Source organism: Homo sapiens, chromosome 8, assembly GCF_000001405.40.
Source record: "Homo sapiens chromosome 8, GRCh38.p14 Primary Assembly".
Taxonomy (NCBI): Eukaryota; Metazoa; Chordata; class Mammalia; order Primates; family Hominidae; genus Homo; species Homo sapiens.
Window position 1 is genome coordinate 73007452 of NC_000008.11, and position 21310 is coordinate 73028761.

The 21310-nt window shown below is 39.3% G+C and overlaps 1 protein-coding gene and 1 pseudogene across 18 annotated transcripts in view, besides 2 other annotated features; one reads left to right on the forward strand and one right to left on the reverse strand.

The window, feature by feature from the left end:
• Positions 1179-1278: a silencer, noted in NCBI's record as "silent region_19285". NCBI's record gives its function as "represses an Ori minimal core promoter by ATAC-STARR-seq in GM12878 lymphoblastoid cells {active_cell/tissue: GM12878}" and the evidence as "EXISTENCE:reporter gene assay evidence [ECO:0000049][PMID:35858748]".
• Positions 1309-1358: a silencer, noted in NCBI's record as "silent region_19286". NCBI's record gives its function as "represses an Ori minimal core promoter by ATAC-STARR-seq in GM12878 lymphoblastoid cells {active_cell/tissue: GM12878}" and the evidence as "EXISTENCE:reporter gene assay evidence [ECO:0000049][PMID:35858748]".
• The window catches only part of TERF1 (telomeric repeat binding factor 1), a 39260-nt gene continuing 19362 nt past the window's right edge, over positions 1413-21310 (forward strand). For 8 of the 18 annotated variants that reach the window (NR_182138.1, NM_001413364.1, NM_001413371.1 and 5 more), the window contains exons 1-6: positions 1413-1754; positions 6444-6539; positions 13233-13354; positions 14765-14851; positions 17371-17520; positions 19489-19601. Coding sequence is in view for 14 of the 18 variants with exons in the window: in NM_001413364.1 (NP_001400293.1) it covers positions 1436-1754; positions 6444-6539; positions 13233-13354; positions 14765-14851; positions 17371-17520; positions 19489-19601 (887 nt within the window). In the remaining 4 variants the exon portion in view is untranslated. Of the gene's footprint in view, positions 1755-5404; positions 5481-6443; positions 6540-13232; positions 13355-14764; positions 14852-17370; positions 17521-19488; positions 19602-21310 lie in introns of all 18 variants that reach the window. The other 10 variants (NM_001413365.1, NM_001413367.1, NM_001413366.1 and 7 more) reach the window with 5 other exon arrangements.
• RNU6-285P (RNA, U6 small nuclear 285, pseudogene) lies at positions 11494-11593 on the reverse strand (annotated as a pseudogene).

Below are 21310 nucleotides of genomic sequence, written 5' to 3' on the forward strand. Positions count from 1 at the left end.
TTGAGGCTGGTCTCGAACTCCTGACCTCAGGTGATCCGCCCGCCTCAGCCTCCCAAAGTGCTGGGATTACAGGTGTGAGCCACTGCGCCCGGCTGTTTTAAACTCTTTACATTTACCAAGCCCTTTAATCGTGCAGGTATTATTATTATTCACATTATACGGACAAGAAAACTGACACGTAATTTACCCAAGGTCACACAGCTAGTGAGTAACTGGTAGGGAATATTCCAACCTAAGCATTCTTAATACTAGAATACAGTGCCTTAGTTACTCAACACTTAAACTGTACCACCTTAAAGACAATAACAAGAAGTGTGTGAAAATGTGGAAAGGCTTTGATGATGCTGGATGCGTTATAAACAGAAAGGCTTTTAAAATAAACTTTTTATTCAATTATGACACACATACTGAAAAGTGCATAAACGATGTTCAGTGAATTTTCATAAAGTGAACCCACATCAAGGAACAGAAAACGGAGCCAGGCGTTGTGGCTCAGGCCTGTAAACCCAGCACTTTGGCAGGAGGATAACTTGAAGCCAGGAGTTGGAGACCAGCCTGAGCAACAGAGCGAAATCCTGTCTCAAAGGAAAAAAAAAAAACAAACAAAAAACAAAAACAATAACCAGACCACCCATCCCCATTTAGAATTTCTTTTTGTGCTAAGTTTCAAAATTCAAAATAAGCATTCACTTGTTTTCTACAAACTGCATTCTATAGTCGATCTCAAACCTTGATTGAGATACATTTCCATTATAGTATACTCTTTCTAGAGCACTGATCTCAAAATGTGGTGCCCAGCCAAGTAGCGTTGGACTTTCAAATTCAAGGATCCCAAGCTAGACCAGCAGAACAGGAATTCTGGGAGTGGAGCCCGGCAATTTGTGTTTTAGCAAGCCCCCAGGCTGATTCTGATGCATCTTAAGGTTGGAGAAGCATGGATATTGTCAGTTGTAATAGTTGTTGTTCGTGATCACGTAGTAACTGTTAGATGAAAACTAGGGTTTAAAAGTGTTACGCTTGTCTAATAGTGACAAGTTCTCATTACCCATCTCTTTCTGAAATAGGCTGCAGGCAAATGCGTTTTCATTTTAAATAACCGTGTTGTTGTTCCAGTCAAGGTTGCATTTTACAAGGAATAAGGAAGATAAAGCTGCCTCCTCCTATCCTAATCTCGCTCCTCGCTCAGTATGGAGTCGTCCGGTTTACCTACAAAGCCCTGCCCTAGACTGGCGGCAAATTCAACGCCCAGAGGCAGGAACAGGTGTCGGCCAATCAGAAGCCGGAACAGGTGTCGGCCAATCAGAAGCCAGGCTTGAACCGCTCGCCCATGTCCCGCCGGCGGAAGAGACTCTCCGCGGCCACGCCCCGAGCCCTCGAATGCGAGCCAATCGTTGCTCGGCGCCTGAAGGGGCAGTACCCAAGCGAGCCATTTAACATGGCGGAGGATGTTTCCTCAGCGGCCCCGAGCCCGCGGGGCTGTGCGGATGGTAGGGATGCCGACCCTACTGAGGAGCAGATGGCAGAAACAGAGAGAAACGACGAGGAGCAGTTCGAATGCCAGGAACTGCTCGAGTGCCAGGTGCAGGTGGGGGCCCCCGAGGAGGAGGAGGAGGAGGAGGAGGACGCGGGCCTGGTGGCCGAGGCCGAGGCCGTGGCTGCCGGCTGGATGCTCGATTTCCTCTGCCTCTCTCTTTGCCGAGCTTTCCGCGACGGCCGCTCCGAGGACTTCCGCAGGACCCGCAACAGCGCAGAGGGTGAGTGCAGACCGCGTCCGGGCCGGGACTACGCGGGGGGCGGATGCGGGCTCCGTGGTGCGCGGCAGAGGGCTGGTTCCCTACGTCGCCGAGGGAGGGGCTGCTGCGGCCGATTAGCTGGGAGTCCGAGGCTCCGGGCTGAACTTTGTTCGAATCCCGGTTCGCCCGTTGTCAGCACCTGAGTTTTTCTCAGATTGATTTCCTCTTCGATAAAATGAAAATAAGACCCTGTTTAGGTTTGATGCAAGCATTAAATGAGTTAAAATGTATACAGTTCCACTCAACCCAGTACCTTTGTCTCTTTTGGCGCTTTCTACTCAGGTATTCCTGTAGTAATATTCAGCAGTCCCTGTGGCCTCCAGTAACCCCCGAGGCATCAGTGTTTTATGTTAATTTGTGAGCTATTAAATCTCATTTGGCCTGCTGGCTCTACAGCAGTTACTTTTATTCTGTGTAGTCTCAGAATAAAAGTAAATGTTGGCCACATGCCTGCAAGTCCCAGCTACTTGGGAGCCTGAGGTGGGAGGATCGCTTGAACCCAAGAGGCAGAGGTTGCAGTGAGTCGAGATCGTGCCACTACAGTCCTGCCTGGGTAACAGAGTGATACCCTGTATGAATAAATAAATGAATGAATGAAACTGTTCATGAAATCTGCTGCACCCCGCCCCCGTCCCAAGATGGGGTCTCACTGTCACCCAGGCTGGAGAGTGTAGTGGCGCCATCACAGCTCACTGCAGGCTCGACCTCCTCAGGCTCAGGTATCCTCCCGCTTCAGCTTCTGGAGTAGCTGGGTCTGCAGGCGTGCACCACCACCCGCAGCTGTAAGATTACAGGTATGAGCCACCGCGCCTGGCCTAGTGTAGCTTTTTGAAAAACAACAGAAAGATGTTCTGGTACTTCATTCATAGTTGGCGCTAAAATTACTGTGCAAGTATATATTTATAATACTATAATTATGCTATTTAATAGAATTCTTAGACATTTTGACACATTTCATCTTCACCATAATCCTGTGAGTTAGGCAAATAATCTTAGTTTTAAGGTACTGATAGGTTAAAAGGGAGTGTTTCAGCCCCATCCTTTATCTTCCAGTTCAAGGATCTTTCCTCTGTATTGCGGTTAACACTGGAGCCAGGGATAATTAACATTAAGTAGAAAATTAAATCCTGGAATGAAGCTAGTTCCTCAGAATTCTCTTAGAGTTCTCTTAGAGTTGGAGACATCAGTATGAACTGTTTAGCTCATGTAGGTATAGATGACTTAGAAATATTTGCATATGCATGTGTAGACATAGGTTACTATACAAATATGTATTTCCTTACTCTGTCAGATAAAAGGGCACAGAAGCAACCTAACTCTAGTAACAATGAGTACACCTAGCACCCCGATCTTGTTTACAACTAAGTTTAGTTTAAAGACCTCACTTGGCTTTATTGTGATTCTGGATTCAGGTAATACTTTATTCCATAAAATAAGTGCTCAATGAATTGAGCAGTTGGGGGTTGGCTTTATAGACAGTAAGGACTTAAGGAAGCTGAAACAGAACAAAAAGAAGATTGGTTATTTCACAGTTACTTGTAAGGCTGGGACAGGGAGACAGAACAATAGATACATGGGATGCAGAATGGATGTTGTGTTATCAGGCATGAAAGCAACAGTAATTTCCTTGTATGTACGTCTCCCTCAGAGCTCTTGAGTGGTTAGGCGCATTATCAATGAGCAATGGTATTTTGAAAGGAATCTTTTTTCCAAGCAGTAGATCTCAATAATGGGCTTAAAATATTCAGTAAACCATGGTGTAAACAGAGGCACTGTCATCTTGTTCCATTTCTAGAGCACAGGCAAAGTTGATATATCATTTGAAGGGCCTTAAGATTTTCAGAATGAGAAATGGGCAATGGGTTTAACTTAAAGTCACCAGCAGCATTAGTCCCTAAGGAGAGTCAGCCTGTCCTTTGAAATATTAAAGTTAGGCATTGACTTCTCTCTGGCTATGAAAGTTCTCTATGACATCTTCTTCTAATATGAGGCTGTTTCATCTACAATGAAAATCTGTTGTTGGCTGGATACAGTGGCTCACACCTGTAATCCCAGCCCTTTGGAAGGCCAAGGCAGTTGGATCACTTGAGGTCAGGAGTTTGAGACACCAGCCTGGCCAACATGGCGAAACCCCATCTCTACTAAAAATACAAAAATTAGCTGGGCATTGTGGCACACATCTGTAATCCCAGCTACTCAGGAGGCTGAGGCACGAGAATCAATCACTTGAGCCTGGGAGGTGGAGGCTGCAGTGAGCTGAGGTCACACCACTGCCCTTCAACCTGGGTGACACGGCGAGACTCTGTCTCACAAAAAAACAAAATCAGTTGTTTAGTGTAACCACCTTCATTTGTGATTGTAGCTAGATCTTCTCAATAACTTGTAGCTTTTACTTCAGCACTTGCTGCTTCACCTTGCACTTCTATGTCACAGAGATGGCTTCTTTTCTTAAACCTCATGAACCAACAACCTCTGCTAGCTTCCAACTTTTCTTTTGCAATTTTCTTACCTCTGTCAGCCTTCTTAGACTTGCTCTGGATTAGGCTGTGGCTTAAAGGAATGTTGTGGCTGGTTTGATTTTTTTTTTTCTATCCAAGTCAAACTTTCTCCATATGAGCAATAGGCTCTTTTACTTTCTTATCATTTATGTGTTCAGTGGATTAGAACTTTTAATTTCCTTTGAGAACTTTTCCTTTGTATTAACAACTTGGCTGTTAGACACAAGAGGCCTATGTTTCAGCCTATCATGGCATTTGACATCCTTTCCTCACTAAGCTTAATCATTTCTAGCTTTTGATTTAAAGTGAATGACTTGCAACTCTTCCTTTCACTGAAACACTTGGAGGGCATGTAGAGTTACTCATTGGCCTAATTTCAATCTTGTTGTGTTTCAGGAGATAAGGAGGCCTGAAGAGAGGGAGTAAGGGGAAGGGCTGGTCAGTGGAGCAGTTAGAACACACACAATATTTATGGAATAAGTTTGTGTCTTATGGGCATGATTTGTGGTACTCCAGAACCTTTACAATAGTAACATCAGAGATTATTGATCACAGACCACCATACAGATATAATAATAATGAAAAAGTTTGAAATATTGCAAGAATTATCAAAATGTGACAGGTACAGGTACTGTTAGAAAAATGAGCCAGACGCGGTGGCTCATGCCTGTAATCCCAGCACTTTGGGAGGCTGAGGCGGGCAGATCACGAGGTCAGGAGATCGAGACCATCCTGGCTAACATGGTGAAACCCCGTCTCTACTAAAAAAATACAAAAAAAATTAGCCAGCCTTGGTGGTGGGCGCCTGTAGTCCCAGCTATGCGGGAGGCTGAGGCAGAAGAATGGCATGAACCTGGGAGGCGGAGCTTGCAGTGAGTGGAGATGCACCATTGCACTCCAGCCTGGGCGACAGAGCGTGACTCTGTCTCAAAAAAAAAAAAAGGTGCCGTTAGACTTGGCTCAAGCTGGGCTGCGGTAAACTTTCAATTTGTAAAAAACATGCAATCTGCAAAGCACAATAAAATGAGGTATGTCTGCACCTATCCTTCGTGGTACTCATTAAAATTTTAATTAGTTACTTACATAACTTTTTGTTTAATTGTGTCTTCTCAGATTAAAACCTTCATGGGGGCAGAGACTGGCTATCTGAAGTCATCACCTCCTAACACAGGCTGGCAGTAGATGTTCAGTAAATATTGAATGGCTTGTGTTTAAATTCTATATAAATTTTGTGCTCTCTTAAAATCCTGTTAAATTCTATTATGACTGTGTATGGTCCAGATAATCTCTGGTGTAGCATAAGATTATGTTAGAATTGAGGGAGGAAATTGGGTAAAAATATATTCGTCTTATATGCTTAATTGCTACAGAATTGCTTTTCAGTTTGCTAGTTATTTAAGTTTTTTATATATACACCAACCAAGCCCTGGGTTAGGTATAATGGTAGTAGTGGCACCTTCAGGTCTTAGGTTAGACATTATTTCCTCAGAGAAGCCTTCCCTGACACCTCCTCTGTGCAGAAGATACTTAAACACACAGATTTCTTGTTATATGCTTCCAAAGCATTCTGTACTTGTCTTTTTAAAGTTTTCACAACATTTTTACTTCAGTAGTTCAATCGCTTGTCTCATTGCTACATGGTAAAAAGCTCACTGTGGTCCAGGAGTATGGCTTACTTGGTATTGTATGTAATCACTGCCTGACTCAACATCTGGGTGGGCATTCAAGTTTGGGGAGGTTAATATTAATAGGTTTTAAACTTTGTAAGCTAAACAGACTCACTTAACTGAAACCTAGATAGAAATAATATAAAATATTTTCTATTATATGAAATGTTTCTAGGTATAAGTTTCCAACCAATGATTTTACACATTTTACAATTTGTATCTAAATCTTTTTTGTTAATGTAGACTGCTACTTGTGAAAGAATTTTCAACAATTTTTATTCTACATGTGAAAGTTATATTTTGTAAGAAATGTCTTCATTGCTATTCTTTTTTTTTGTTCTGAATTTTAATCAGATCTTAAATGTACAACTCTAAATTTATGATAATTTTTACAATATGTTTGTAGCCTATTACTCAACAAACCACACAGTGGCACTACTGGATCAAGTTTGATTTTAATAAAATTTACTTTTTTTCTTTTTTAGCTATTATTCATGGACTATCCAGTCTAACAGCTTGCCAGTTGAGAACGATATACATATGTCAGTTTTTGACAAGAATTGCAGCAGGAAAAACCCTTGGTAAATATGTTTTTTTATTTTATATTGGAAATATTTCAATCTGTTTCTAATGTAAGACAATGGGAAGAAACAGACGTTTTTGGGGGAAGTTTGCCTACAAGTGTCTGGTGCATAGGGGTGTGGGGGGGTGGTGTGTGTGTGTGTGTACACATACAGTCATATCTAAAGCAAGTAAAAGAAATGTAGTCCCTGTCATCTTAGAACATTGGTTCTCAAACTTTAGCCTGCTCCAGAATTACTTAAAGGGCTTATTAAAAAAAAAAAAACATAGTGCTGAGTCTCCCTAACTCTCATGAGTTTCAGATTCAGTAGGATGGGTATGGGGCTCTGAAATATACATTTCTAATAAATTCCCAGGTGATTCTGATGCTACTCTTGGGGAAGTGTGTTTCATTGACTCTATTTGCTAACTTTGTGGTGACTCCAATCATACACACTCTGTTTTTACTGGCAACTATTATATTTGAAACCTTTTATTTGAACTTGATGCCAGCGCTTACGTAAGAAGTACAGTTTATAGCTGTAATCTCTCTCCCTTGTCTCTGTAGTTCCATTTTAGATTGTAATGGGCAAGGCTGATTCAGTTTATCAGTAATGGCTGGTATTTACAACATGGTCATTTTAAAAGGCTATTTGATGGAAATAATTTTGTATTTAGATTGGTTTTTATAATTTACAAAATACTTTTCCAACAATCCTGAGTAGTGGGCAGTACTTACATAAAACTGCTTGCTTATTGAAGTGTTGTCTTACATAAAATCCCAGTGTATTAGCACCACTGTCAAGGCCTTCACTAAAGTATCTCTGGCTGATGTAGTCTGCTTTGTTTGGGGGGTGAGGGTAGGTCTGGAGTTGGTGCCAGGACCATAAATGGATAGAACTAGATAGAGGCAGAATAGTTGTGAAAGAGACAGAGCCATAGGTAGGCCTGGGCCAGTTGCTGGAGAAGTAGCAGGCTGGAGCAGAATTCCAGACCATGCAGACTATAAGTTGACACTGTTGTTAACAGGGTTGTTTTCTACATTAAGGTGGAAAAGTATTCTAAAGTGCCTGGCAGTGCTTTACACATAGCAGTTGTTCAGCACATCTTAGTTGCTTCCTGGATAACCTTTTCTCCAAAAAAGGCAGGGGGGAATCCAGATTTTATGTGTGATCTCATGGTTTAATCTTGGAATTTACCAGGATACTCTTTTGGATATATCCTAGATATAATAGGCCAGGGTCAGCTGTCAAGAATCAATGTATTTCACCATAATGCACTAAACTGAGGCAGCATTTAAAATTTTATGTATTGGATTTTTGGCTATACATAACCCTTTTGCTTTTTTTTTTTTTTTTTTAATTTTGCTCTATAGTGGCACTGCCTAATAGAGATATGTGAGCCACATGTCTAATTTAAAATTTTCTAATAGCTATGTTAAGAAAAGTAGGCCAGGCATAGTGACTCACACCTGTAATCCCAGTACTTTGGGAGGCCTAGACAGGAGGATCGCTTGAGCCTAAGAATTTGACACCAGCCTAGGCAACATAGCGAGACCCTGTCTCTACAAAAAATTTAAAAAATTGGCTGGGCGTGGTGATTCACGCCTGTAATCCCAGCACTTTGGGAGGCCGAGGTGAGCGGATCACGAGGCCAGGCAATAAAGACCATCCTTGCTAACGTGGTGAAACCCCGTCTCTACTAAAAATACAAAAAAAAATAAAAATAAAAAGTTAACCACGTGTGGTCCTCTGGAGACTGAGGTAGGATCGTTTGAGCCCAGGAGGTTGAGGCTGTGGTTAGCTGTGATTGTGCCACTTCACTTCAGCCTGAGTGACAGAATGAAATCCTGTCATGAAATTTAGAAATTCCCATTCCAGCAGGTGTAGCTAAAAAATAATAATGATAATTAAAATAGGTGGAATTAATTTTGATAATCTTATTTAACTCAATATTTCTCAAACACTATGTCAACAAGTAGTCAGTGTAAAAAATGTTAGTAAGGCCAGGCACATGGCTCACACCTGTAATCCCAGCTCTGGGAGGCTGAGGTGGGTGGATCACTTGAGCCCACGAGTTTAAGGCTGCAGTGAGCTATGATCACACCACTGCACCCCAACCTGGGCAGCACAGCAAGGCCCCCATCTCTTAAAAAAAATCAAATGAGATATTTTACCTTTTTTTGGAGTAAGTCTTTGAAATCTCATGTGTACTTTATACTTAAGGTGCATCTCAATTCAAACTAGCCATATTTTAGCTGTGCAGTAATCATGTATGGCTAGTAGCTGTGCAGTAATCATGTATGGCTAGTAGCTACCATATTGGGTTTAGTCTCCTACCCCACATAGGTTTGACAAGATTGGACATGTTTGGGGTGATGTGGCTGTAGACCCCCACGTAGCTCTGAAATACAGCAGATATCTTAAAGGGGAAATGCTTGTCATCCTCCTCTTATGGAACTTTAAGCTTTTTTTTTTTTTTTTAGCCAGGGTGTCTCTCTGGCCCAGGCTGGAATGCAGTGGTGCCATCATAGTTTATTGCAGACTCAAACTCTTGAGCTCAAGTGATCCTCCTGCCTCAGCCTCCTGAGTAGCTAGGACTACAGGTGCACCATCAGGCCCAGTTAATTTTTTAATTTTTTGTAGAGACGAGGTCTCATGTTGTCCAGGCTGGTCTTGAACTCCTTGCCTTAAGTGATCCTCCCGCCTAGGCCTCCCAAAACTCTGGGAGACTTAATGTGCCTTTCCACTGCAGCCTATTGCATTGCCGTGGAACTCAGCACATGTCCTGTGGAGAAAAGCCAATCATGTTTGCAGTTTCTCTAGTTTCCAGTCGACGTGCCAGCCCCAAGGAAACCACCAGAAGCTGTTCTTATTTGTCTTTCTCCAGTAAAGTCTCTCTGGCTGGAGTGCACTGGATCCTCAGCCTTATCCAAAATCAGCAAATCGGCAGCTCACCTCAGAAGGGATTCTCTCTGGAATTTTAGTTCATCTCATTTTCATTGCTTCCATGGCTATCCCATGTCTTTAGCAATGTGATTTTGGAGTTTATCTAACTGTTTTCTAGCTGTAGTGTGAGTGTTTTGTTTGCTGCAGTATACTACATCCCACCTGGAAGTGAATGTCTATACTGTAAATTTTTTGAAGCTAAGATCTAACATACATTTTTCTCTATGTCACATTTATAAGAAGGAAGGCAGATAAGTGAGAAGGGTTAAGTAATGTCAGTCAAGAAATACTTATTTGAAAATGTGTGTTGAAATTAGCTCTTGAAAGAAAGCAAGCAGATGAAAAATGAGGAAGAAAAATTAGGCAGTCTACCTTTGCATTTTCATTTCACTACTTTTGAGGCACAGTAAGTGATATTTAAGTGTCTTGGTGTCTGCTTGTACTACTTGCTTGGTGTGTGACCTCTCTAGCTCTCAGATCTTACTGTATAAAACAAGTGCCACAGTGCCTGACACTCAGTGTTAGTTACTAGCATGAATATCTTTTGTACACCTCTTTCTTACCTTATGCTGCTCCATTTTCCTGAAGTGTTCTCCTTCCCATCCTTGTAGTCTACACTTAGTTATCATCTGTTTATCCTTAATGCCCCAATTTGGATGACTTCTGTTTCATGAGGGATTCACTTCTGCTATTCCTACTTAGAGTTAATACCATGTTCCTCAAATACACTAGACTCTGCTTGAGAATTTAATCTCTGGGAGATGGGTATAGGCATCAATATTTTTTTTCTTTTTTTTTTTTTTGAGACAGAGTCTCACTCTGTCACCAGGCTGGAGTACAGTGACGCCATCTTGGCTCACTGCAACCTCCGCCTCCCGGGTTCAAGCGATTCTTCTGCCTCAGCCTCATGAGTAGCTGGGACTACAGGCGTGCGCCACCATGCCTGACTAATTTTTCTATTATTAGTAGAGACAGGGTTTCACCATGTTGGCCAGGATGGTCTCAATTTCTTGATTGGCGGATCTCGTGATCCGCCTGCCTTGGCCTCCCAAAGTGCTGGGATTACAGGCGTGAGCCACCGCGCCTGGCCATGCATCAATATTTTTCAAAAGCTCTTCAGATGTTTCTGAGGTATAGCAAACATTGAGAACCATTGGCATAATGCACAATTCCATTAAAGTACCAGTTATATTGGTTTGTCTGCATGTCTTCTTCCATAGCTAGGATGTGAGTTCCACAAGGTCAGGAACTTTTTTTTTCATGTTTGTATCTTAAGTACCTGACACAGAACCTGGAATATAAAGAGACTTAGTATGTGAATGAATATATTTTTATATCTAAAATGTTGGAAAAACAATTTGGAGAGGACAACAGGAAATAAAGTAAAAATATTTGAAACTACGAATATTTAAACTGCATGCTCACTCTGGTTTTTCAAGGAAAAAAGGATGTGCTATTTAAAATTCTCTTTATTCGGTCGGGCTTGGTGGCTCACGCCTGTAATCCCAGCACTTTGGGAGGCTGAGGCGGGTGGATCACCTGAGGTCAGGAGTTCGAGACCAGCCTGGCCAACATGGCAAAACCCCGTCTCTACTAAAAGTACAAAAATTAGCCTGGCGTGGTGGTGGGCACCTGTAATCCCAGCTACTTGGGAGACTGAAACAGCAGAATCGCTTGAACCCAGGGGGCGGAGGTTGCAGTAAGCCGAGATCGCGTCACTTCACTCCAGCCTGGTCAAAAGAGCAAAGCACTGCCTCAAAAAATAAATAAGTAAAAATAAAAATAAAAAATTCTCTTTATTATGCTTATTTGTTGCATACTTGCTATGGAACTACAACTGTGCTAGGAATTACAGGGATTTAGAAAAATACACTTAAGTGGCTTCTGCCCCCCAAAATTTGAAATATGCATTATAGAGTAAGAAGTTTTTTGTCTTCAAGACACTGTAAAAGCTAATAGGGTTGTTGAGGTAAGTATAAAGTACTGCAAGGCATTAAAAAATGAATAATGATACAAGAGTTTCTTTTTAATTAATGCAGTGCTCATGAATTTTTGTGTCATCCTTCTCGAGGGGCCATGCTAATCTCTGCATTCTTCCAATTTTTATATATTTGCTGCCAAAGCAAGCACATACAGGAGATTTAGAGAAAGGACATTTCCTAGTCTCTTAGCTGCTGGGGTAAGGACAGCATTCAAGAAAGAGGTGCTGTTTGCACTATGCCTGTAAGAATTGCTAGATTTTGTCAGAAAGAAAGTATAAAAATGGTAGTCTATCCACATCCTCAGATGTGGTGTGGGGGTGGGGGGAAGGTAGTCTAGATAAAATGAAAACATTAGCATTATTTTGAAAATAAACTATAGTTTACCTGGATAATAGACTCTTGATTTCCATATACAACTTCATAAACTTGGTCCTCACCCAGGCTTCCTATGATAGTAAATGTTAGCACCATTTATCCAATTATTAAAACCCAAGAGTCCTCCATTTTTTCCTCATGCTCTACATGCAGTCCATTAGCAGGTTCTATTCTACATTCAAAATAAGTTCCAAAACAGACAACTACTTGCCTTTTCCATCATCTTTCTAAGAGTATGCATCCAACTTGCCCACCGACCTTCCTCCTGCCCTTTGTATTTGTTTTTTCAAGACAAGGTCACGCTGGAAGGCTGTGGTGTCATCATCGCTCACTGAGCCTCAGACTCCTGGCTCAAGCAGTCCTCCCACCTCAGCCTCCCAAGTAGCTGAGACTACAGGCACACGCCCCCACCTGGCTCTTCCTGCCCTTTGAACATCAAACTCCTCCTCAGGACCTTTGCACTTGCCATTCCCTCTGGAATGTTTTTCTTCCAGATCTTTGTGTGACTGTTCCTTCTGCTTCACATTACGCTGTTCTCAGCTCCACTGTCACTTCTTCAGAGAGGTCTTTAACCTGTCTGAAAGAGCTTCCCTCTCCCCTACCATTCTTCATTTCCAGAACCTTTTTTCTTTCTTCTAGCCCTTACTACTCTGAAACTATATTGTTTACTACTCTGAAACTGTATTGTTTACTACTCTGAAACTGTATTTATTTCTCATTAGCATGTGCGTATCATAAGAGCAGGATTTTGTCTTACTGAGCCATTCCAAGTTTTTAGGCGAGTGCCTATATATACTGAGTGATCAATAAATATTTATTGAATGAATTGTAGACTGTAGATGCTAGACATGTAAGACATTATCATGAAGGCTCTTGAATGTCCGAATGGGTTGTTGCTGTGTAATTTGCTAATTAGTTATCAGCTGTTGTGAGTCTTTGTTCTGAATAACTTGATCACAACTCTTTTAGGAAAGCTTAATAATAGTACAACTATTATCTCATTATATATTCACATAAATTCTGTGAGATAGTATTTATTCTCACCATTTTATAGGTGAGAAAACTGGCCTGTCTTGAGGTTTGTTATAATGCATTAGACTTAGGAACCACTTAAGAATTCTGTTGCTATGACATGTTATGTAAAATAGTTTACTTTCGTTCTTAAAATTCATGTTTTTGTAAAGAAAATCTTCAAATGTTTGTAATCTCATCAACCTTTTTCTATTTGAAATTGATCTTAATGAGCAAATTAACTTAGAAAATAAAATCACTTCTAAACTGGTATAAACAAGAAGAGTACCTAGCACATAGTATACACTCAGTAAATATTTAAAGGAATGCATTATTAAAAACTGACAAAGTTCTACTTAGCTTTCTGAGTTACTTATTTTTGTTCTGTTTTTAAAAGATGCACAGTTTGAAAATGATGAACGAATTACACCCTTGGAATCAGCCCTGATGATTTGGGGTTCAATTGAAAAGGAACATGACAAACTTCATGAAGAAATACAGAATTTAATTAAAATTCAGGTATGAATAAATTACTTTTATGCTTATTATATTTCTAGAAAATAACATTTAAAAGAAATTAAGAGGAACCTAGTAGAAGTTGAGCAGTAGTAAAATTTAATGTATTGTTTCTCTTCAGAAATTTGACCTTTGGTTTATAGTCTTAACATGAGCACTGGGGGCTGGAACTTAATGTGCCATACTTAAGCATATGTTGCCTCTATGTTGTGGAAAATTTAAAAACCAGGGGTTTGTGCACTCTCAATTGATGCTTAAAGATTATGTAAAAAGTAGATACTATTTTTAATTAATGGTAAATTTTAGATTTTTGTAATCAAGAATATATAAAATTTTAACCAAGTAGGGAGAATTTTAGTAGACAGTAAGTAGCCCAAAACGTCATTCAAAGATACAATAGCTAGCAGTCAAAGCAAATACTAGGTACTTTCTTAGTTAAATAAACTTTTTCTCTTTTGAGAATTTTAAAAATTTCTTTTCAGGTTGGATAAAAGAAAATCCAAGTCATTCCCCACCTTCCCAAGAATTAGTGTGGTGATTGTCAAGTAGAATTAGGACCTGAGGAAAAGAAAATAGGCAGAAAAACGACTGCTTCCTTTATGAATTCAACCCAGAGCAAAGAGATTTGTCATGTTATTGCAATCTTTTAGGCTGCTAGAGAAAGCAAGTCTTTCTTAATACACTACTGTAAAATCAAATGGGTGACAAAGTTTATAGCAAACATTTAATATATTCCTTACTATTTGCCAGGCACTGTTCTAAACTCTTTCACATAAAACTCTTACATCCTCATAACAATCCTATGAAATAGGTACTATTGTTTCCACCATTTTACATATAAGGTAACTGGGACACCAAGAGGTTAAGTAGCTTACCAAGTTTACATAGCTACCCAAATGGTAAGTGGTCCTGTCTTACTTACCACGTTACCAAAAATGCCAATGCATGAAAAAAATGATCATTAAAAAACATCTAGCTTCTTAGGTGTGTATTAGATATTTTCCAGGGATCTGACTAGCAAATTTTATGTATCCTAATCATCACAAACATCATCTACCTCCTCTCATTTCCCTTTTACTCAAAATTAATATTTAGGTGGGTCCTAAATGTGTGTGGTATGGCTTCTAATTTATTTATTAATACATACTTTTCATTTGGTCTAAATTAGAGATAGAATGCTGGGCATTTATGAATAAATGTGCATGGGACCAGTGCAAATTTTTCATGTCATTTCAAGCGACACTTATTTTGTCTTTGAAAAATAATTTTATATCTTTTATCAAATTAAAATTATTAAGCTACATAAAAATGTTCTCAACAGAGGATTTCAGACTTACCTGAGTTATCTTAATAATTAAATAACTATTGGGTATTTATAAACGCAGTCTAAGGTTGGTATTTTTCATCTTTTAGGCTATAGCTGTTTGTATGGAAAATGGCAACTTTAAAGAAGCAGAAGAAGTCTTTGAAAGAATATTTGGTGATCCAAATTCTCATATGGTAATTATTTAAATTAAAACCATAGAATTTTAGAAGTGTTTATGTAGAGTGAGGAAAACTGAAAGAAAATTGGAGGAGAAAAGAAATGCTTTATCTTTTAAACAGTATAGAATAATACCGTGCAACAGAAAAACTACGCAAGTCACATATGTGATTTAAAATTTTCTAATAAGCTGGACGCAGTAGCTTACACCTATAATTCCAGCACTTTGGGAGGCTGAGGTGGGAGGATCTCTTGAGCTCAGGCATTCGAGACCAGCCTGGGCAACATGGAGAGATCCTCATCTCTCCAAAAAGAAGGAATAATAAATAATGAAAAATAAATACAATTTTCCAGTAGTCATATTAAAAAAGTAAAAAGAGGCCCGGTGCAATAGCTCATGCCTATAATACCAGTACTTTAGGAGGCTGAAGCAGGAGGATCATTTGAGGTCAGTAGTTCAAGAGCAGCCTGGGCAACACAGCGAGACCCTGTTCTCTACAAAAAAATTAAAAATTAGCCAGGTGTGGTGGCGCAATACTGTAGTCCTGAGGTGGGAAGATTGCTTGAGCCTAGGAAGTCAAGGCTGCAGTGAGCTATAACGCTGCCACTGCGCTCCAGCCTAAGCAACAGAGAGAGACGCTGTCTCTAAAAATAAATAAATAATAAAATAGTATAGTATTTGCATATAACATATGTACATCCTCCTGTATAGTTTAAATCATCTCTAGATTATGTATAATAACTTACACAATGTAAATAGTTGTACTGTTTAGGAACAAAAAGATACAAAAAATCTGTATGTGTTCAGTACAGGTGTAATTTTTTCCCCCATACATTTTGTGGAACAAATATATGCATTTCTTTTGGGTTTATATGAAGAGTAGAACTGATTAGTCATAAGATGTGTACATACTCAGTTTTAGTAGATATTGCCAAACTGTTCTCCAAAGTAGTTATGTCAGTTCCTCCAGTAGTGTGAAAGAATTCTAGTTGCTCCACACACCTTGTATCTGGGTTTTCATTTTAGCCATTCAGGCAAATATGTAGTGCTATCCTGTTGGATTTTAATTTGTTTCCCTGATGAATAATCAGATTGAGCACCTTCCCTTGATAATGTTAGTAGATAGAGTTGGAGAGTGACTACCTTAATCCAGTAAGGAACCTGGGCCTAGTAGAGAGTAGGTTGGGCAGTTTTGGCAAGGCTTTGTCTATCTCTAATTTAACCCTGTACCTGGGGTATAACCCTCCAGAAATTTCAGCCAATAGCCTGATATGTCTGTTGGGTTTTCTACCCTTAATATTTTCTCCATAGCACTATGAGACTACTGAAAATTCTACTCTGCTTATACCTCCCAGAAGAGGAAAACTTAATGGCCAGGAAATATTAAGAGGTTAAGATAAGTACTTGACCTCACTAGTATTAATGTTGCCTCATTAGGGCAATATTAAGTACTATATTGAAATACCACTTTCCATGCCTCAGACTGGCATCAATTAAAATGTCTTAGAATATCAACAGTTGTCTCAACAAATTGAGAAATGATTGTACTGCCTGCCATAACTTCCTTTCAAGACTGTAAATTGGTACTTCTTTGGGAGATCATTTTAGCAAAATATTTTAAGCATGCATTCCAGCAATTCCACTTCTAGACAATACCTTAGAATAGCTGGTTTCACTTTTAACTGCATATTTTAAAAGCCATGAAGTTTAAAGGCAACAAAAAACCAAGGCCTTCCTGAGACAGTTGCTCTGGGATTGAGCCTAAGAATTTTTTTAAAGTTCTACTTTTTTTATTGTGCAGCCAGCATTGAAAAAGCTACTGTCCAAGAAAAACACATACAATGCACAGAAGATAATGTAGAAAAATGTTGAAGAGCGATACAATAATTGCAAGTAGCCTAAATCCCTCAATAGGCATGAAGAATGGATGAATAAGTGATGTTTTTGATCAGTGTAGTACTTTACAATGGCAAAAATAACTACTTCTAGGAATATCAAATCAGCATGGATAAATGTTGTAAACATAGAGTTGAGTGAAATATAGCAAGTTTCAAAAGAATACGCATCGTACAACACTATTTGTAGAGTTAAAACCATGCTAAGCAATGCTACATATTTGTGGATACATACATATGTAGTGCAAGTAAAGGAATTCCTGGGAATGGTGAATTCTAAATTCAGGGTAATGGTTACAGTTAGGAGAGGAAAGGGAATACAATCAGATTATGGTAGTAAACAGGGATTTTAACCATATTGATTATGTTTTATTTCTGAAACTGGGTAATGGATACTCTGGTTTATAATACATATCTTTTTGAATCTGTCTAAAATGTAAAATATTTTTTAAAATGAGGAGAGGCCAGAAGAAGTCAGAAAAAGGTACATTGGCATGCCATTTAAAACTTAATTTTAAAAATATCTGTGTCTCTTGAGTTTGTAAAGTGATTTCTTTTCAATTAAATAATATGTGACAAAAATCGTTGTATCTGTAACTTTGTGTGATTTATGTTAATATATTTCTTCTGTTTTCTTTAGCCTTTCAAAAGCAAATTGCTTATGATAATCTCTCAGAAAGATACATTTCATTCCTTTTTTCAACACTTCAGCTACAACCACATGATGGAGAAAATTAAGAGTTATGTGAATTATGTGCTAAGTGAAAAATCATCAACCTTTCTAATGAAGGTATACATATTATTCAAGAGTGACTAATAATAGACTTAAAGGAAACGTTATAATAAAGGAGAATACTTGAAATAGAAATCCTTTAAAATTAATCAGAATTTTTCATTGTGGTTTTGTAGAAAGGTGTGGTAAAATGTTACATTTTGTGGACCTAATTAAAAGATTTATGAGTGATATGTACTTTTGTAACTTTTCAAAATTAGTTTGGGGAAATTTTCAAAAGAAAAAGTTGAAGGGAAAACTTAGAATGAATTAAAAATAAGAAATAGGCAAAAGCAAATATTTTAATTTAAGTAAATTTTAAAGACTTTTTAAACATATTTTTGGGGAAAAATAGAATTGTATTAAAGAAGGGCCTTTTAAAATTTTTCTAGGCCAGGCGCGGTGGCTCATGCCTGTAATGCTAGCACTTTGGGAGGCCAAGTTTCAGGAGTTCGAGACTAGCCTGGGCGACATGGTGAAACCCCTTATCTACAAAAAAATACAAAAAAATTAGCTGGGCCGGGCGCGGTGGCTCACGCCTGTAATCCCAGCACTTTGGGAGGCCAAGGCAGGTGAATCACACGGTCAGGCGGATCACACGGTCAGGTGGCTAACATGGTGAAACCCCGTCTCTCCTAAGAAAATACAAAAAAATTAGCTGGGTGTGGTGGCAGGTGCCTGTAGTCCCAGCTACTCAGGAGGCTGAAGCAGGAGAATGGCATGAACCTGGGAGGCAGAGCTTGCAGTGAGCTGAGATTGCGCCACTGCACTCCAGCCTGGGCGACAGTGAGACTCTGTCTCAAAAAAAAAAAAAAAAAAAAAAAAAAGCTGGGCATGGTGGCATACACCTGTAGTCCCAGCTACTTTGGGGAGTTGAGGCTGTAGTGAGCTGAGGTTGAGCCACTGCACTCCAGCCTGGGTGACAAAATGAGACCCTGTCTCAAAAAAAAGACATTTCTGGTCAGGCGCAGTGGCTCATGCCTGTAATCCCAGCACTTTGGGAGGCCGAAATGGGTAGATCGCTTGATCCCAGGAGTTTGAGACCAGCCTGGGCAACATGGCAAAACCCCATCTCTACCGAAAAAATAGAAAAATTTAGCCAGACATAGTGGCACACGCCTGTAGTCCCAGCTACTTGTGGCGGCTGAGGCAGAAGGATTGCTTGAACCCAGGAGGTTGAGGCTGTAGTGAGCTGAGATTGAACCACTGCACTCCAGCCTGGGTGACAAAGTGAGACTTGTCTCAAAAAAAAACACATTTCTAGTCAGGCGCGGTAACTCACGCCTGTAATCCCAGCACTTTGGGAAGCCAAAATGGGTGGATCGCTTGAGCCCAGGAGTTTGAGACCAGCCTGGGCAACATGGCAAAACCCCGTCTCTACAAAAAAATTACAAAAATTTAGCCAGGCATAGTGGCGCATGCCTGTAGTCCCAGCTACCTAGGAGGCTGATGTGGGAAATCACCTGAGCCCAGGAGGTTGAGGCTGCAGTGAGCTGTGATTGTGCCACTGCACTCCAGCCTGGGTGACAGAGTGAGACCCTGTCTCAAAACAAACAACAATAAAATTTTTCTAATAACATTTTATTTTCTGTCTTGGCCTCCAAATTTTTAAGTTGACAGTGTTATAGTGGAGCATCTTGATTGATTTGAGATAGTTTTTATTTGAAAATATCTAGAATTTTTATTTTTTTTTTTTTTCATGCAGCCTTTTCTCTTAAAATTGCCTAGAGAGCATTTTGTCTATCAAATATATTTACAAGGAAAGACCACCTTCGTAACGCTGATAAACCAAGCAGATAGCTAATGTAGCTGCTGGCAGTGTCATAATTATTGGTGAAAATAACAACACAGTGCCCTTCATTGGCCTGTGAACAGATACATTAGCTATGACTATCAAAGAATTACAAGGCTTAATTTAATGCTATTTGTTTAAAATGGCTTAATGCATTTCTTCCTATCCTTCTACCTCCACGCACGTTTTTTAAGGCAGCGGCAAAAGTAGTAGAAAGCAAAAGGACAAGAACAATAACTTCTCAAGATAAACCTAGTGGTAATGATGTTGAAATGGAAACTGAAGCTAATTTGGATACAAGAAAAAGGTTTGTAATTTAATCAATTTGTATATTTTTTGTTTTATGAATGTTCTGTCTTTATGTAAAATTGATATGTCTTTTTATTAAAAATAATTATTGAGTAGCATGTTATCTTGCTGATGATTAACATTTAGGTATTTGAAGTACTGTAGAGTTATTTCATGACTTGTGCAAATTATATATGCTAAGCAAAAGTAGAGAATAAGAAAATATTACAGTTTAAATAATGTGGATAGTTTACCATTCTTGGGGTATGCTTAGGAACAAGGGTGAGGTTGGACTCCTGTGCCCCTTAGTTGTGTTTAGATTCTACATGTTCTCATTATGTGATTCATGTTTCACTGTACTAAGAGTCTAGTATTTTAAGATATTATTCATATATCTTCTCTAAGCATAAGCTCACTGCTTCATCTGGTGCTCAACTGAAGAAATAGTGATTTGCTTTAATACTGGAGGAAAACAAGTTGTGTCAGTCCTATATATTGAGAGATAGTTGTTAAGTCTCCAAAATTATTTTTTCTTTAGGGATTTTCAGGGGTGATTGTTGTCTTTTGTTTTAGAAGCTTAAGTATCTTCCCCTATTGAGAAAGATATAACTCTTAACATTATAAAGATCTTCTTTTCTGTTGAACCCATGGTCTGTTTTCTCTGTTCTTCTACCCTTAAACCAAGGCCAGATAATCAAATCTCTGTGGTCTCTGGATGGGTATATTTGGAAATGGATGTAATATTACTTTCTTCTTGGGACCATGACCTAAGTGTTGCAGGGACCCCATCTTAACTACTTATTTAGAGGTGGAGATTGGGGTTCAAGTTGGATCTACACTGCATTTGTCACATCTTAGGACTGAGGTTCTGTCATCTTATAGTGGCCCCTCCTATTGTTCCTGCCTGTCAAAGCATGACTTGTTCCTCAGGGGTTCATCTCTCCAAAGGCTGTACTAAAGTCTTATTTCACATTGATGTACTTTTTTCTAAACTCCAATTTAAGAAGTAGAGATTCCATTTTTATTGGCCCAATTACTTCCTTTTGTTTCAAAAATCAAAGTTGAATGATACTAATACCCAGTACATTCTTGTGGCCAAGCCATCCTGCTCATGATAATATTGCTAATACCATGGTTCTTACAGATAATCATGAGCACACTTCCTATGGACTCTCCTTATATAGTGCTACCCACTTATTTCAGATGCTCTCCTAGACACAAACACAGTGCAATCCATGTGTACCAAACAGAACTCTTCATGTTCTCATTTGCCTCTCTACACCCTGCCTCTCTTTAACCTCACACATCCAGCTGCTCTCCAAGTATTAGGAACCGCACCTCAGAAATGCTTCTCCAATCTATTTTTATCTATATAGCTTTGTACCATTCAAATCCATCCTTGACATAACTTCTAGAGTTAGCTTCCACAAAAATAAATCTCTTTAGATCACTCCCAGCTTAAAAACCTTTTGGCTCCTATTTCCTACTAGATGAGTCAGAATTTATTGGCATGGCTTATAAAGCCTTACGTAGACCCATTTTTTTTTTTTTTTTTTTTTTTTACATACAGTCTTATCCCTAAGCATGAACTCCTCCCTGTCCACATACATGGTACTTTCTAGCAGCACAGAAGCTTTGTTCCTTCTATTTGAATTCCTATCATTTTATTCTCTCCAAGGCAAGCTCTTCCTTGCCATTCAGTCTATCTCAGAGATCACCTATATGAAG